Raw genomic sequence first — 17,679 nt, 5'->3', positions numbered from 1 at the left:
TGCTGCTGTCTTAGGGCAGCCTGTGTTTATTCTCTTCTCTGGCCCCACCCACATCCTGCTGATTGGTCCATTTTAGAGAGAGCTGATTGGTCTGTTTTACAGAGAGCTGATTGAGCCGTTTTGACAGGGTGCTGATTGGTGCGTTTATAATCCCTGAGCTAGACACAAAAGTTCTCCAGGTCACCACTAGATTAGCGAGATACACAGTGTCGATTGGTGTATTTACAAACCGTGAGCTAGACACAGAGTGCTGATTGGTGCATTTACAAACTTTGAGCTAGATACAGAGTGCCGATTGGTGCATTCACAATCCCTTAGCTAGACAAAGGTTCTCCAAGTCCCCACCAGATTAACTAGATACACAGTGCCGATTGGTTCATTCACAAACCCTGAGCTAGACACAGGGTGCTGATTGGTGTGTTTGCAAACCTTGAGCTAGATACAGAGTGCCCATTGGTGTATTTACAATCCCTTAGCTAGACATAAAGGTTCTCCAAGTCCCCACTAGACTTAGGAACTCAGCTGGCTTCACCAAGTGGATGCGGCAGCGGGCAGCAGGTGGAGCTGCCTGCCAATCCCGCGCTGTGCACCGGCACTCCTCAGCCCTTTGGGGGTTGATGGGACTGGGCACCGCGGATTAGGGGGCGGCGCTCGTCGGGGAGGCTCCGGCCGCGTAGGAGCCCATGGCTGGGGCGCCGGCAGGCGGCTCAGTCATGGCGGGCTGCTCAGTCATGGTGGGCTGCAGGTCCCGAGCCCTGCCCCGCGGGGAGGCAGCTAAGGCCCGGCGAGAAATGGAGCACGGCAGCTGCTGGCCCAGGTACTAAACCCCTCACTGCCCGGGGCTGGCGGGCCGGCTGCTCCGATTGCGGGGCCCGCCGAGCCCACGCCCACCGGGAACTCGCGCTGGCCCGCAAGCGCCGAGCGCAGCCCCGGTTCCCGCCTGCGCCTCTCCCTCCACACCTCCCTGCAAGCTGAGGGAGCTGGCTCCGGCCTTGGCCAGCCCAGAAAGGGGCTCCTACAGTGCAGCTGCGGGCTGAGGGGCTCCTCAAGCGCGGCCAGAGTGGGTGCCAAGGCCGAGGAGGCGCCAAGAGCGAGCCAGGGCTGCGAGGGCTGCCAGCAGGCTGTCACCTCTCAATAGGACGTGAAGGTCGGTCGGGGTCTGGTTGTAGAAGGCTTTAAACAACAAGCTAATAAATTTATACTTCACACTGTAGACAAGTTGCAAGTCACTGAAACATTTTTAAACAGAGGAGTGGATTTGCAAATGCAGTGTCTTGGAAATATTAAGCTGGAAGCAGTGTGAAGGATGGTTTGGTGGGGAGAGACCAGAAGCAAGCAGCCAAGTTGGGTTGTGCAGTAAACCAGGCAGTGCAGTAGAGGCTTGGACCTCAAGAGTGACAATAGACATGGAGAGGACAAAGGCCGTACCCACCAGGCTGTAAATCTGCATTGTGTCCCTCCATCCTCCCCTCGCTTCTGCCCTGGAGGCTTATATTTAGAGAGCTGTACTCCTAACGTGAGGCCCTGGGCTTTGTCTCAAAGGTAAAGGCAAAAGTTCCTTATGTGGACTACCTCTGCATTTGTTATTAAACAGCCTTAGATGATGCCATTAATTGAATGAACTCAGAGGCCTTCTTGATAAACTCTCAAAACTCAGGGCTTAGGAAGAAAAGTGCTTGTACTAATGTAGAAATATTTTCTATAACCGGACAGTGAGAGCTGTAGAAACCCATTATGCATTCTTCTTTGCCTTCACTGCTAGTGATCTCAGGGCTAAATATTGCACATTGTTTTAGTTTTCTTTGGCAAGCATTTTTTAATTTTGTTGTTGTTGTTCTCATTCCTTCTTGCTAATTTTAAGTGCATGTTCTAATAAAGTCTGACTGCCTGGTGGGCAGATCACGAGGTCTGGAGATCGAGACCATCCTGGCTAACATGGTGAAACCCCGTCTCTACTAAAAATACAAAAAAAAAAAAAATTAGCCGGGCGTGGTGGTGGGCGCCTGTAGTCCCAGCTACTTGGGAGGCTGAGGCAGGAGAATGGCGTGAACCTGGGAGGCGGAGCTTGCAGTGAGCCGAGATCACGGCACTGCACTCCAGCCTGGGTGACAGAGCGAGACTCCGTCTCAAAAAAAAAAAAACAAAAAAAAACAGTCTGACTGCCTGGATCCAGATATTCCCCACTCCACCATTCAACTGGCTGGATGACCTTGGCCTATGACTTAAGCCTTCTGAGTCTCTGCTTTTCTCACGAATAAAATAAAGATAATAATAGGACCTATGTTCTAGAATTCTTATGAGATAAATGAGATAATCCTGGTAACATAAAGGGCTTAACATCTTACTTGTCATTGTGGAAGCTTAACAAATGGTAGCTATTACTGATATGAATTGGGTTTGGTTTCAGCGTTCCTCTGCTTTTATTATAAATTTCCTTAGATCCTCTTCTAGAAGGAGAGCATGTAGGAGGTACAAGTTTGTTTTCAACAAGCAATTCTCTTGGGAACTAAGAGTGAGAACTGAGTCACTTCTGCCATAAGGGCAGCAAGCCTTTCATGAGGGATGTACCCCCATGGTCCAAACATTGCCCACCAGACGCCACCTCCAACACTGGAAATCAGATTTCAACATGAGACTTAGGCCAAACAAACCACATCCAAACTGGAACACCTAGGTAGTGGGAAAGGCTCATGAAATGTGCCTGTGCTATAAGAGAAAACATTATCAGAGACTAGATTGTTCTGTCCCCAAAACCCTATATGCCTCACTCTGGAACAGCGCAAGATGCACCCTAATAATATTTACTTCTCTGAACCCCAGTTTCTTGGATTATTATGTCTATCTTGATATATTACTTTAGCTCATTAAGCCACACCGTAGTGGGGGTGGGACATGGTGTTTCTTCACATAATAGGTTGATGTACTTAGTCAAACTAAATTTTCAGTGGTGTTTGAAAATGGGGGGACTAGAACTCAGGAAGGTGGTAAAAGCTGGATATATGGATTTGATCACCCCTGGGAAACAACAACAACAACAAAAAACATCTAAACTAAAGCTGTGGAGGTAGTAAGATTACTGAAAGGAAAAGTTTCCAAAAGGAAGGAGGTATCCACATATAAAAGAATGAAGTAGGATCCTTGTCTTATACAATATATCCAAATTAACTTAAGATGGATTTTCTAAAGTTAAAATGAAGTTAAAATTAAAAATTAAAGTTAAAAGCTATAAAACTATAAAACTGGTAGAAGAAAACAGAGGGGAAAAGCTTTATGACATTGCATTTGGCAATGATTCCTTGGCTATGACACCAAAAAGCACAGGCAACAAAAAAAATTGGTGATGAGTTGAGGGATTTGTAAAATAACATAAAAATAGATGAATTGGACAACAACAAAAGTTACAACTTCTGTGCATTGAAGGGCAGGATCAACAGAGTGAAAAGGCAACCTACAGAATGGGAGCAAGTATTTGTAAATCATCTATCTGATAAGGGGTTAATAACCAGAATATATAAAGAACTTCTATATCTCAGCAACATGAAAACAATCTGATTAAAAAAATTGGCAAAATACTTAAATAGATATTTCTCCGTAAAAGATGTGCAAATGGCCCACAGGCACATGAAAAGATGCTCGACATCCCAGTCACTGGGAAAATGCAACTCAAAGCCACGATGAGGTACCACTGCAATCCATGGGGATGGCTACTATTACACACACACACACACACACACACACAGCCAGGCACAGTGGCTTATGCTTGCAATTCCAGCACTTTGGGAAGCTGAAGCGAGAGGATAACTTGAGGGCAGGTGTTCAAGACCATCCTGTGTAACATAGTGAGACCAGATCTCTGCAAAAAATTTAAAAAAATATTAGGGGGGAATCGTGGCACACACCTGTAGTCCCAGCTACCCAAAAGGCTGAGGTAGGAGGATTGTGTGAGCCCGGGAGTTCAAGGCTGTAGTGAGCTATAATTGCACCACTGCACTCCAGCCTGGGTGACAGAGCAAGACCCTGTCTCAAAAAAAAAGAAGAAAGAAAAAACCTCAACCCAAAAGGAGCAAAACAAAAAATAAATGATGGCAAGGATATAGAGAAATTAGAACTTTTGTACATGGCTGGTGGGAATGTAAAATGGGGTAGTCACTATGGAAAAAAATTAAAAATAGAATTACCATATGATCCAACAATTTCACATCTGGGTTTGTAAACAACAGAAGTAAAAGCAGTGTCTTGACATTTTTGCACACCTGTGTTTATAACAACATTATTTGCAACAGCCAAAAGGTAGAAGCAACCCAAGTGTCTATTGACAGATAAGTGCATAAAGTGTGGTATATACATACAATGGAATATGATTCAGTCTTGGAAGGAAGTTCTGACACATGCTACGACATGGATGAGCCCTGAGGCTATTATTTGTATTAGGGTTCTCCAGAGAAACAACCAGCAGGGTGTGTGTGTGTGTGTGTGTGTGTGTGTGTGTGTCTACACAGAGCGAAAAAGAGGCTTAAAGAATTAGCTCATGCAGTTGTGGAGGACTGGTGAGTGAAAATCTGATTGTATTGGCTGGCAGGCTGGAGACCTAGGGAAGAGTTATGGTTCAAGGCCAAAGGCAGTCTGCTGGCACAACTCCTTGTTCAGGGGAAGTCAGTCTTTGTTCTAGTAAGGTCTTCACCTAATTGGATGAGGTCCACCCACATTACGGAGGGTAATCTGCTTTACTTAGAGTCCATTGATTTAAATGTTAATCTCATCCAAAAAACACCTTCACAGAAACACCCAGAATAATGTTGGCCAAATGTATGGGTACGGTGGCTCAGCCAAGTTGACACATAAAATTAACCATCACATTATACTCAGTGAAAAAGCCAGTCAAAAGACAAATACTGTATTATTCTACTTACATGAGGTTGTTAGAGTAGTCAGATTCATAGAGACAGAAAGTAGAAGAGTGATTGTCAGGGGCTGGGGGAAGGGCAAATAGGGAGTTGTTTTACGGGTGTAAGAATTTCAGTTTTGCAAGAGGAAAAGTTCTGGAGACTGGTCGCACAACAATGCCAGTATGTTCAACATGAATGAAGTGTACATTTGAACAGGGTTAAGGTACATTTGATTATGTATATTTTATTAAAAGTTTTTGAAAAAAAATGAGGAACAGAGAATGACCTTTAGGAAATATCCACATTTGAAGATGGGAAAGGAAGATGAGAGAATGATGAATCAGTGAAATAGAAGGCAGTTTACAGCTATCTGAGCCAAAGGACAAAATGATCAACACTGAAATATAGTACAGTCAAGGTGAACACTAATTAGAAAAAAGTCTCCTGGGTGTGATCATTCAAAGGGCAACTGCACTGAGTTGAGTGTTAATACATTAGTTTGAACAAAACCACTTTGCACGGTGAAGATGACTCTAGGTGATGCGGTTAAAGGAGGAAACCTGGAGGGGCGGAGAGAAACAGGAGAGGAATGGACTTGAGGGTGGAAGGAAAGGAGACCATGCAAAGGAAGACCCTGGAGATACAGATAAAGTGAGAGGGCCACTTTTGCCTCTGCCTTTGACATTTCCTCCTGCCGGGTAGCCTGACTTGGTCAAGATTCTAAAAGTTACGAGATAAGGGGCCCCATAAATCAGACTAAGCTGGGGCAGCTGCCCTAAGAATGTGCAGCTAGGGACTGGTGGCAAGAAACAGACCATGGCAGGTTTGGAGAGATCCTCAAGGAGTCCAAGCCTGAAGTAAATTGCAGTGGAAGCCAAAATGTCAAAGACAAAGTACAAAGCTAGGCTGAAGACCAAGTGGACAAATGCCAATGCACAGTCACGGGCTGCATAACGATATTTCAGCCAACAACAGACTGCATATAGGAAGGTGGTTCCATAGATTATAACAGAGCTGAGCAATTTCTGTGACCTAGTGGCATAGTAACTATCATAACATGGTAGCACAACGCATGACTCACATGTTTGTGGTGGTCCTGGTATAAGCAAACCTGAGTTGCCAGTGTATAAGAGTATAGCTTGGAGAGTTACATACAGTACACAATACTTGATAATGATCATAAATGACTGTTACTGGTTTATGTGTTTACAATACTTTTATTATTATTTTAGAGTGTACTCTTTCTAGTTTTGTTCTGTTTTTGAGACAGAGTCTCGCTCTGTTGCCTAGGCTGGACTGCAGCGGCATAATCATAGCTCACTAAAGTGTTGAACTGGGCTCATGCCATCCTCTCACCTCAGTCCCCCAAGTAGCTGGACAACAGATGCACACTATCACACCCGACTAATTTTTTTTATCTTTACTTTTTGTAGAGACAGGTTCTTGCTCTGTTGTCTAAACTTGTCTTGAACTCCTGGCTATATGTGATCCTTCTACCTTGTCCTCCCAAAGTACGGGGATTACAGGTGTGAGCCACCATGCCCGGCCTCTGCTTTCCAAAAACGAAGCTGACTGAAAAGCAGATTCAGCCAAGATCCTTCAGGAAATATCCCAGAAGGAAGCATTGTTACCATAAGACGCGGCAGCTTCATACGCGTTACTGCCCCTGAAGACCTTCCAGTGGGACAACACGTGGAAGACAGTGATATTGATGATCCTGACCCTGTTTAGGCCTGAGCTAATGTGTGTGTTTGTGTCTTAATTTTTAACAGAAAAGTTTAAAAGAAATTTTTTTAAATAGAAAAAAGCTTATAAAGAAAAGCTGTACAGTTGTGTTTTAAATTAAGCGTTATTACAAGAGTCAAAAAGTTTAAAAAATTAAAACGTTTATAAAGTGAAAGAGATACAGAAACCTAAGGTTAATTTACTGAAGAAAGAACAATATTTTAACAAATTTAGTGTAGCCTAAGTGTCCACTGTTTATAAAGTCCACAACAGTGTGCAGTAATGTCCTAGGCTTTCACCTGCACGCAACACACACTCCCTGACTCACCCAGAGCAACTTCCAGTCCTGCAAGCTCCATTCATAGTAAGTGCCTGTGTGTGGAAAAACCACCTCCAATGTGTTTTTCTTCTGCTCTCACACCACAGCAACCATCAACATGGAAGACTTCTATGACGACATACAGGGGAATTTCTCCCCACACACCAAGCAAACAAGCAGTTCTGGAGGGGACACCAGCTAGGTGTCCTCCAGTTCAATTGTGACACCGCCTACCTGGAGATAGCATCAGATCCCACAGGTTGTAGGCTCATTCTCCCAAGACTGTCCCCTCCTTCCCAAGATAGCAAGTCCAGGTCTGTAGAACATCTGACCCACCAGCTTCAAGTTGGGGTTCCTATGACCTCTTCTTTGTGTTTGATTAATTTGCTAGAGTGCTCACACAACTCAGGGAAACACTTATGTTTACTGGTTTATTACAAAGGGTATTTTACATGATACAAATAAACAGCCAGATGAAGAGATACATGGGGTGAGTCTGGAGGGGTCCCTAACCCAGGAGCTTCTGTGGAGTTGGGGTGTGGCCACCCTCCTGGCATAGGGAAGAGTTTTGTCAGCCTCCACGTGTTCAGCTTTCCAGAAGCTCCCTGAGCCCTGTCCTCTTGAGCCTTCAATGGAGACATCATTGGGTAGACATGATTGACAACCATGTACAAATACAACTGGACCAGAAGGGATGATCTAACACTAGTTGTCTGAGATGGGAAAACCCACCAAGGCTTATCCAGATTCTTGGCCTCTCTGTGCAGCATTCCCACCTCCTAAGGATGGGCAGGACCCTCTCTGGAATGAGGATCTTATGATGTGCAGAGTCCTGCCTTGGGCAGGTGAAAGGAGGGCAGGAGAAAGTCAGAGACAGAGAGAGTCTGTTTTCTGAGCCTAAAGTGTCCCAGCACTATAACAAGACTATAATGAGGGCCATAGAAGTTATGAGCCAGGAACCCTGGACAAAGACATATAAATACTATAATGCTATAGTGCCCTTTAGTGCCCTTTAGAGGCATACCACTTTTATCTTTCAAACCATATGTTTACTGTACCTTTTCTTTGTTGAGACATTTGGAGACACAGATACCATCATGTTGAAGTTGCCCACAGTATTCAGTATAGTCATGTGCTGCACAGGTCTGTAGCTTAGGAAATGTAAACTAAAGAAAAATGACCAAGGTGAGTCCTGATCATTTTAGGTTTATTTGCTGAGGTTGAGGACATGTCCAGGAAAGAACGTAGATCCACAGGAAACATTGTGTTTCATGCTTTTTCCAAAGAGGGTCTTGGGATCCCAATATTTAAAGGGAAAAGGCCAGGTATTGAAAGAGGAAGATACATTTTTAAAAGGGTATGGGTAGATAAGAGGCAAGCAGTTGCATTCTTTTGAGTCTTTGATTAGCCTTCACATGTAAGAGGGTAGGGGAACAGTCACTTAAACATTCATCTAGTTCAATGAACCTGCATTTTTACATAAGATAAACAGGCAGGGGGAGCAATCAGATATGCATTTGTCTCAGGTGAGAAGAGGGATGACTTATGTCTCTTGTTCCATGCCTGTGAAGATAAGCCATCAATTTACATGGTCAGGGTGAAATTCAACGTAACTATCTTAGGGTAAACATCTTGGGGGCCCATAAAGAATTTCCTTAGTTTTTCTTTAATGTTATTGAATGACTGTTGGCATTCCACTGTCTAATATAAAGGTTCTGACTCTGACATTTTAAATGCCTCAGATAAGTCCTTTACTAGGAGACCAAAATTAGGGATCAAAGGTGACAAAAGCCAACTATACCTAAGACTCCTTTTAGTTATCTGATTTTTGAGAGCCTTGATAGTGGCTATTGCTTGTTACCTGTCAGGCATCAGACTCTGCTTACCTTATTGCAGGCAAACCCCTGAATAGACTACCTGCTCTTTGCATATTTGCAAAGAGATACTTTATGATCCAATTCCACCAGGCTGTTTAAAACTAGTATTGGCCAGGTGCGGTGGCTCACGCCTGTAATCCAGACACTTTGGGAGGCCACAGTTGAAGGATCGCTTAAGCACAAAAGTTCAAGGCCAGCCTGGACAACACTGTGAGACTCCATCTCTACAACAAATAAATTTTAAAAATTAGCCATGTGCAGTGGCACACACATGCAGTCCCAGCTACTTGGGAGGCTAAGGTGGGAAGCTCGCTTGAGCCTAGGAGGGCAAGGCTGCAGTGACCCATGATCACACCACTGCACTCTAGCATGGGTGGCAGAGTGAGACCTTGTTTCAAAACAATCAAACAAAAACTGGTATAAACAGTCTTCATAAGTGGGGCTAGCAATGAGTAAATTACCCATGCATTGTAATAGTATTCCCCTGTTTAATTGCAAGCTTCTCAAATCTTTTAGTAAGATTTTTTTCAAAAATGGTAAAGGAATACTTAAATATTTGGGCAGTACAGTCTAGCAGTTTTGGAAGTTTGCCCTAGTCTCCAGATCTTGCCATTCAAGTGCAAAAACAACTGGGCTTTCTCCTCAATTAGTAGACACTGAACAAAAGCATCCTTTAATTCCTATGCTGAGAACCAGCCATAATCCCCTGGGGTAGCTGTAAGTGGGGTATATGGGTTAGCCACGATTGGGTGGGTATCTTGAACGATGTCATTAATAGCTCTCAAATTTGCACAAATTGATACTAATTGGAGTTTGGTTTCTTCACTGGCAAGATAGTGGTATTGTATTGAGACTGTCATGATTGAATAAGTCTGTGCTTTAGAAACCTGTGTAATCCCCCTGTATGACTTCTAATTCTTTACCTTTTAAGCAGTGTTGTTTTTATGTGGAATTAATGCTTTTTTAAATTCAACGTGCACAGGCTGAGCTTTGACTGCTAGTTCAGGTTCCCTTGTCTTCCCAAACAGTGCAACTCCCTCTGTTGTAGACTTCCAGCAGGAATGGTTCTTGAGTTCTTTTCTCTGGCTGAATCACCAGTGCCTGTAGGCATAGGACATGTTTGGGTGATACCTGGATTCTTAGATGTTGTTTCTCAGGAGCAAAAGTGACTTGGGCATTTAATTTACATAACAAATCTTGGCCCAACAATGGAATAGGGCAATGTGGCATATACAGAAAGCTATACCTCAATCTTATATCCCTCAATTTATATTCTTAGGGCTTAAGAAAGAGTCTCTGTTGTAACTTCCCAGTGACTCCAGCCTTGGCTGGAAACATTGCTACAGTATCAACCAATAAGCCAGTCATTTTGTTCCCCACTGTCGCTTGTACCCAGGGCTCCTGTAGGGAAATTACTGTTGCTCTGTTAAATCAGGCGGAGTCCCTGTGCCCCATCAGTCTTCATCAGAGTCACAATCCTGCTCCACCATCTCCTTCTTTGGCGTATATTTCCCTTTTCCTCTCCCTTGTCTTTTTTATTACCATCTTTTCTCTGTAGCTTAGGGGGGCATACTTCTCATGTCCAGATTTCCCCACTGTAGGCACACTGGTCCTTGTCTAGGGATTCCTTTCTATTTCACCCCTCATTCTTCCACCTTTTTGAACAGTCTCCATGAAAATGGTTGCCTGTCTAGCTTTTCTTGTTTCTCTAGCATTGAAGTCTTTGTAAGCAATATCTGTAAACTGGGAAGGGTTCATTCCAACAGTCCCTTCCTGCTTTTCTAATTTTCTGTTAATGTCAGAAGCACTTTGGCTGATGAAAGTTATATTTATGACCCAAACATGTTCCAGAGCCTCTGGATCAATATCTGAATATTTTCTGTAAGCCTGTTACACTTGTTTCAACCAAGCTGCTGGGTTTTCACTGGCCTCCTACCAGAGGTCATGGATGTTTTTTATTGAGGCTTTGCTGCTTAGGTACTCCCTTTCTTAGGAGTAATCCTACAGTCAAGATATAACCTCATTATTAAGGTTTCATTTGCGTTTCACTAAGGAAATTGCCTCTGGGATGTTGGAGGACCCAGCAGGGTCTTCCTGGTATAGCCTTCTGGCTCCATCATTAGTCTTGTCTAAAAATAACCCCCTTTCATCATAAAATTTAATAATGCTTGTACACCTGCTATTGTGGAATGATGAATAGAAAAAATACTGGTGAATATTTCAGTCATCTCCTATGGATCATCCCTATAGGATGGACTTGAATATTTTTCCATTTACTTAGTCAAAGATAGAAAATGGTGAATAACCAAAATAGCCCAGGAGTATGGCCCTGTGCATTTAATCCTCCAGCGGGGAATTTGCATAACAGAAATTGTTCTGCCGCATGAGGGTGTACGCTGTGGTCAAATTTAGTTGCCTTGTCAGGTCTTAAAAGGGGAGCCTATTTCTTGGCTACCTTTAAAATGAGGAGGGGCCACCACACCCTGTAAGTCTGTATTATCTGGATAATCCTCTGGTGGAGGGGGCAGAGATGGGGCAACTCAGGGTACTGTGCTGGTACTGCAGCTGGGGCCTCCATGGGAGCCTGCACAGGTGCCAGAGCAGGCTGCAATGGGACAGGCACCTGCAAAGCCTCAGCATCATTTGCCTGTGGAGGGTTTATAGTTGACAAGATTATCCTATCTCCTTCTTTTCCTCCTCAGGTAATGGAGAGTGAGGAGATTTTACCTGATATGGTCCTGTTTGCACCATCAGCCAGCAACCTTTCTGGGAAGCGTGCTTATTATGTACCAACATAAAAGCTTGAATATAAGGTATGCAGTCCCAATTTCCTGATCTCAGATTGAAATGTTCAAGCTGTATAACATTAAATTCAAAGAACCATGTAATGGCCACCTATCTTCCTCATGTATCACGTACATTGACCACACCTTATTGCAGTAGATTATCTTTTTTGTCGTAGGGTTATCACTGTAGGCTTACCAGTCAGCCAATATGAACCACAGTGGGCTCTGAGAGGGGACTGATGAAAAAAACTTCCCATGGTGGACACAAACAAAACACAACCAAAACAAATGAAGCACTTTTCCAACCCAGGCTTTCACAAAGGAAGAGACTGGTATGGAGTCACTATGAGTCATTTCTTCTACCAGTGGTACCACAAATGGTCCAAAGGCCCAAATGGTAAAGAAAGTGGACTACTACTTTGCACCCCAGTAGACTTACCTGGTTGTACAGCTCATCAGCTCATCCAAAAAGCTAGTTTCCCAGCACTTTGGGAGGCCAAGGCGGGCGGATCACGAGGTCAGGAGATGGAGACCATCCTGGCTAACAAGGTGAAACCCCGTCTCTACTGAAAATACAAAAATTAGCCGGGCATGGTGGCGGGCGCCTGTAGTCCCAGCTACTCCTAGGATGCTGAGGCAGGAGAATGGCATGAACCCAGGAGGCAGAGCTTGCAGTGAGCCGAGATTGCGCCCCTGCACACCAGCTTGGGTGACAGAGCGAGACTCCATCTCAAAAAAAATTAAAATAAAAAAAATAAAGCTAGTTTCCTTTCACCAACTAAAAGCAAAAGTAGGCAGTCAGTACTGAATGGGGGAAAGGAGGAAGTTTCCCTGAAGTAGAAAGAGTTTTGGCAGCCTCTCTTTGGCAGACTTTGGGGCTGTCTCTGCAGTTCCCTTCTGCCATGAGTAGCCAGTGCCACAGAGCATTTGCCGCTAACCTCTGGTAATGTGAATGAGTTAGCCCTGACCTGCTGCCGCCATCAATTGCTCCACCTCTTGGGAACCAAGAAGTCCTCCCAACAATATGGATGAGTTAGTCCTGGTATGAAGCTGTGACCAATTGCTTTGTCTGTTGGGAGCTGACAGGGTGCAAACAGCCCAGAGCACACGGCTTCTGGCTGGGCTTGCCAAAATTTGTAACCAAACCCAGATCTAGGCCACTTGTTGCTTGAAAGCCAAAAGTCTAGAGACAAATGTTGGTGAAAGGGAAAGTTAGCTACATTCAGGAAGCCAAAAACTCGAGGGAGGCTGTGAACTCATCTTCAAAGACCACCTGTCTGATCCGGGAGGTTTTAAGGGAAATTAGGAGCAGGGCAAACAATGATCGAAGCATTTCACAAAAAGTTTTTGTTACTAAGCCTGACCTAACCTGAAAATAGCCTTAGCTTTTTTTCTCTCTCTCTTTTTAGACACAGGGTCTCACTTTGTCACCCAGGCTGGAGTGCAGTGATGTTATCTTGGCTCAGTGCAGCCTTGACCTCCTGGACTCAAGTGATCCTCCTGAGTAGATAAGATGACAGGCATGCACCACCATACCTAGCTATTATTATTATTTATTATTATTATTATTTTTGTTTGTGTATAGGCAGGGTCTCGCTTTTCTGCACAGGCTGGTTTCATCCTCCTGGCCTCCAGCAATCCTCCTACCTCAGCTTCGTGAAGTGCTAGGAATACCAGTCTGAACCACTGTACCTGGCTGATCAGAGCATTCTTATGAAACATGTGAAGTCTCAGGCAGGCAGGCAGGCAATCACTGTTTTCTTGGTCAATGTTGTATGACCTTCTGCAGGTACCATCAGGCTATTCTTATCAAGCCACTTAGCCCATTCCCAGAGTTGTTTGTCAGTGTTTTTTCTTTTATGTCTGCTGAAGATCCTGTATTTCTGAGGCTGTTTTTAATGAATAATCTACAGTCTCAGGAAAAGCAATAACTGTATTCAAGCAAACAAGCTTTTCTCTAACATGGAGTCAGTACTGTTATAGTTTTTTGTTTTTTTGGTTTTTTTTTTTTTTTTGATTCAGAGTCTCTCTCTGTTGCCCAGGCTGGAGTGCAGTGGCGTGATCTCTGCTCACTGCAAGCTCTGCCTCCTGGGTTCACGCCATTCTTTTACCTCAGCCTCCCGAGTAGCTGGGACTACAGGCACCCGCCATCATGCCCGGCTCATTTTTTTTTTGTATTTTTAGTAGAAACAGGGTTTCACTGTGTTAGCCAGGATGGTCTCGATCTCCTGACCTCGTGATCCGCCTGCCTTGGCCTCCCAGAGTGCTGGGATTACAGGCATGAGCCACTGTGCCTGGCCATGTACTGTTCCAGTTTTATCCAATAGTGCATACAATTTAGAAGCAGTGAAAAACATTCTGATTATGACCGACTTCAAAGATGTAATGTCAGTCCATTCTGGCCAATGTGGAAACAGGTTCTATGGTCTTTCCATATCTTTCAGTGTTCTCAGAACCAAGTTTCAATAGCCTTAATATTTCATTACTTTTGAGAAAAAAGAAAAAGTTGCCCTCTGACTTCATGCCAGAAAAACTGCTAAGGATTTTATATTATCTCCTTAAATCCTCACAGCAATGTTGATAGATTAAGTCAATCCCTCAGGATTGGGTTTGCCTGTGATAGAAAACTCACACTCCCTTGCCCCCTTATGAACAAAGTCTGAAGGTAAACTGTGCAAAATGATGAATAGCTCTGCTAGCATAAGTGATCTAGGTTCTTTCTATCTTTTGGCTCTTCCGCCTTTTAATATATCACTTCCTCCTGATGGTTTAAGATCACTGTTTAGCCCCAGGCATCGTGTTTCATTCTAGTCACGAAGAAGACAGGCAGGATAGAAATGCATGTGCCCTTGCTCTTTAAGAATACTTCTTGAAAGTGCCATATGGGACTCTACCTTCCACTGCTTGGTCAGAACTTAGTTACGTGGCCACACCTAGCTGCAAGGGGGGTGGAAAACATGTTCTCCATTCCAGGTGGCCAAATGCATGGTTTTTTAAAAAGGAAGAAGGGTATTGGAGGACAGTTCCACAGAGGTGTTATAAATACCATTTTGTGGATGAGAAATCAGGTGCAAGGAAATTGAGCTCTGACCTTTGAGGGAGCATAAAGAACTAATCAGGAATACCTGTGTTCTTTTCCAGTGAATTCACAGCTGGAGTCACCTCAGCAGTGGCATCTGGGGTGCCACTGCTGGCATCAGGGGAGTTCCCACAAGGGAGTACCCCAAGCCATCCCAAGATGGGACCAGTTGGAATCCCAAAGAAAGAAGCACTAGACGCCAGGGTGATCAGATCAAAGCATTTATTATGAGAACTTAGGTAGAAACTGGGTTTCACCATTTCCTCCAGATAGGCAGTTAGGGAAAGAGGTGCTCTACCTAGTGAGGTCTGCAGCATGAGGATCAGGGAATGGAGTTGGTGAGAGATTAAGGCATTTGGCTCAGGGCCTGGCCAGTTCCTCTCAGTGTTTGGGGCAACAACCTAAACACCTTTGTAGGTGCCTGGGAGTGTTCAAAGCGTAACCTTGGGTTCCAGCCTGCCGGGCAAATTGTGCAGCTGATGGGGTCACAGAACAGTTGAGGCACGCTCTGTTTCTTGGTTAGGACAGAAAAAGGGAAAACGGAGTACCCTTCAACTACTATGCGGTAGGGGGGACAAAGTTTCAGAATGATTTTAAAAACTAAATTAGAATGAACTTCAGTTATTCCAACAATAGCATAACTTGTTCTATGGCAATCTGACGTGCTTTCTTACATGACGGGGGCTATAGTCAGCAGCACTCCACTGTATGTATCCCACAGCCCACCTTCCTATGCTCTCATCCGTAATCCAAATATACCCACGAGAGTGTGGCAACCCTGTGAATTTCACCCAACACGTGTGGAGATAGAAAAGGGAATTGAAAACCAAACCCGATGCTGCTCTGCCACCCTACTCTCTTCTTGTGTCAGTGAAACCTTTCCTGAAAACTCAAGGAGATGCTTCCAGAACTGTTCTGTCACTTGGGCTTACCCCTAGTATAGATACTGACAGCCAACAGTTTCCTAGGGAGATAAGAGACAAGAAGCCTAAGGTATCTTCCAAGATCAAATCTACCTCCTTAGTCCTAATCCAAAGTTGTCCATCCCATTAAACCAAAGGTGGGAGAATCTACTATGGAGTGGCCTCACTGACATCCAGACAGACAACTGGAATAAGCTTTAGCCCCCGGTTCTAAATATTCACAGTGACTCACAAGTGGTTCGTAGATAGACCCAACTTCTTCAGGTGGACTTTGGTGCTTGTGCCTCCGTTGACCTTGTTAACCAAAAAGTGACTGCGACATGTTTCAATCGATTACAGGTTTATTTAGCCAAAGTTGAGGACACGCTGGGTCCCTGCACTGCCTTCTTCTCTGTCGGTCTCCTGAAAGCCTCTGCTTAAGGAGGTCTCCGTGGCCATCTTTAGCATCTCAGAGTGAATTAAATCCCCCTTTCTAAGGGCATTTTCCTGTGAAGCTTTATTCTCTGTGACATAAGGGGAGAGGGATTTTTAGAGAACCTGGGGTGGCGGGGGCTTTAGAGGAGAGGGGGGATTCTCAGGGGATTTCCCTCTCCCCAGAGATACATCTCTCCATGAAACAAACAAACAGAAAGCACGCAATACAGTGCACAGCACACAGTCAGTGCTCATGAAGTGTTGGTTCCCCGTCTGCCTACTGCAGTTGGTACAAACAACACTCAGGGTGCCAAGCTTCAGTTTGGTGAAGAAAAGCATAGCCCACATTCCAGTTCCCAGGCCTCGTCCTGAAGGGTAAGGGCAGCTCAGGCCCTGGCATTGCTTGTCCTGAGGACAGGCCAGCATGTCCTGTGCCTGGTGGTCTCCAGAAATGTTGTTGCCTGCCTGCTGCCACTCTGCATCTCAAGCTTATCCCCCCATGCCTTGCCAAAGCCCACTCCATCTCCCTCCCCTCCCAATCCACCTGGAGCTCCCACCTGTCATCTTTCCTTCCCACCGTGGGGCAGGTGGCGATCTGCAGGCCTCCCTGAGAGAGAACTGCCCCTACCCTGCCTCAAAGCCAGGGGCACTGATCCAGCTCTCAGCTCCAAGAAGATGGACTGGGATCTTCCCTTAATGCCTTCTGGGGTCTGAGGATAAAGATGGAGAGAGGCACTGAGCTGAGCACAAACAGGAAAAGGAAGAGCTCATGGCTCAGAGCTGAAGAAGACAGGACCCAGTGAGCAGAGGACTGTGTCCCCATAGGGAAAGACATGTTCTGGTACAGGCAGGTCTGGAGTTCAGGAAGGATTCAGGCTCAGTAGGGACTCCGGCTCACTGCCCTCTGCTTGGGAGAGCAAACCCTCCTAGGTGAGGTTTCCTTTCTGTGCCTTTACTGCAGGGAGCTTGTGTCAGAATCAAGGGCACCATCAAAATAGGATGCCACAGACATCTCAGCTGTGCCAAACTAATGCCCAAAGGCTCAGCTATTGCAGGTAGGGGTGGGAGGGCAGGCCCTCACAGGTAGGCCTCCTCACAGGCCCACCCTGCCCTTTATGGCACAGCCCAGGACCCTTAGGTCAAAGCTGACTTTTCCCAGTCTCAAAGCGCCGTCTTATCTGTTGCTTTATTTGTAACTCACAACAGGCCTCTGAGTCAGGCAGGGCATATGTCACTCCTATTTCATAGAAAGAGAAACTGAGGCATGGGGTGGGCTAAGTGACTTGGGCCAGAGGGTAAGTGAATTGGAGTCAGGACTCAGATCTCCTTGGATCCACACCAGACATCCTCCCACATGGAACCCTCTCCCTAATCTTAACACTTCCATGGCGTCATGGCTTCATCAGCCATCACAAGAAAATGAGGCCACAGAAATTGCATGCATGTTCATGTGTGTGTGTGCCTGTGTGTGTGTACACAAGTTCATGTGTTTGTGCACGTGTGCATATGTGCATGCGTGATGCCTTACTTGCTGAGGGAAGAGGAGGAGGGTTGGCAGCTGCTGATGATTTTCTCTATCTTGAATGTTGTAAGTGCTTTTCCCAGGAGAGCCAGATAGCCATGGTGTGTCAGGAGAGGTCTCAGAATGAGACTTATGAAGTGAAGATGAA

The 17,679-nt window shown here is 45.0% G+C and overlaps 1 long non-coding RNA gene across 1 annotated transcript in view, besides 1 other annotated feature; it reads left to right on the top strand.

The window, feature by feature from the left end:
- The window catches only part of DDX11-AS1 (DDX11 antisense RNA 1), a 53,085-nt gene that overhangs the window by 1,568 nt on the left and 33,838 nt on the right, over nucleotides 1-17,679 (top strand). Inside the window, exon 2 of the long non-coding RNA NR_038927.2 lies at nucleotides 11,510-11,620. This is a non-coding gene — a long non-coding RNA (DDX11 antisense RNA 1). The remainder of the gene's footprint in view (nucleotides 1-11,509; nucleotides 11,621-17,679) is intronic.
- Nucleotides 5,671-5,965: a silencer, noted in NCBI's record as "tiled region #7044; K562 Repressive DNase unmatched - State 5:Enh". NCBI's record gives its function as "represses a minimal TATA promoter and a strong SV40 promoter by Sharpr-MPRA in K562 cells {active_cell/tissue: K562}" and the evidence as "EXISTENCE:reporter gene assay evidence [ECO:0000049][PMID:27701403]".

The sequence above is a fragment of the Homo sapiens genome, chromosome 12, assembly GCF_000001405.40.
Source record: "Homo sapiens chromosome 12, GRCh38.p14 Primary Assembly".
In the NCBI taxonomy this organism is placed as follows: Eukaryota; Metazoa; Chordata; class Mammalia; order Primates; family Hominidae; genus Homo; species Homo sapiens.
Note: the sequence above shows the minus strand (reverse complement) of the source record. Positions and strands in the feature narration are given on the sequence as shown.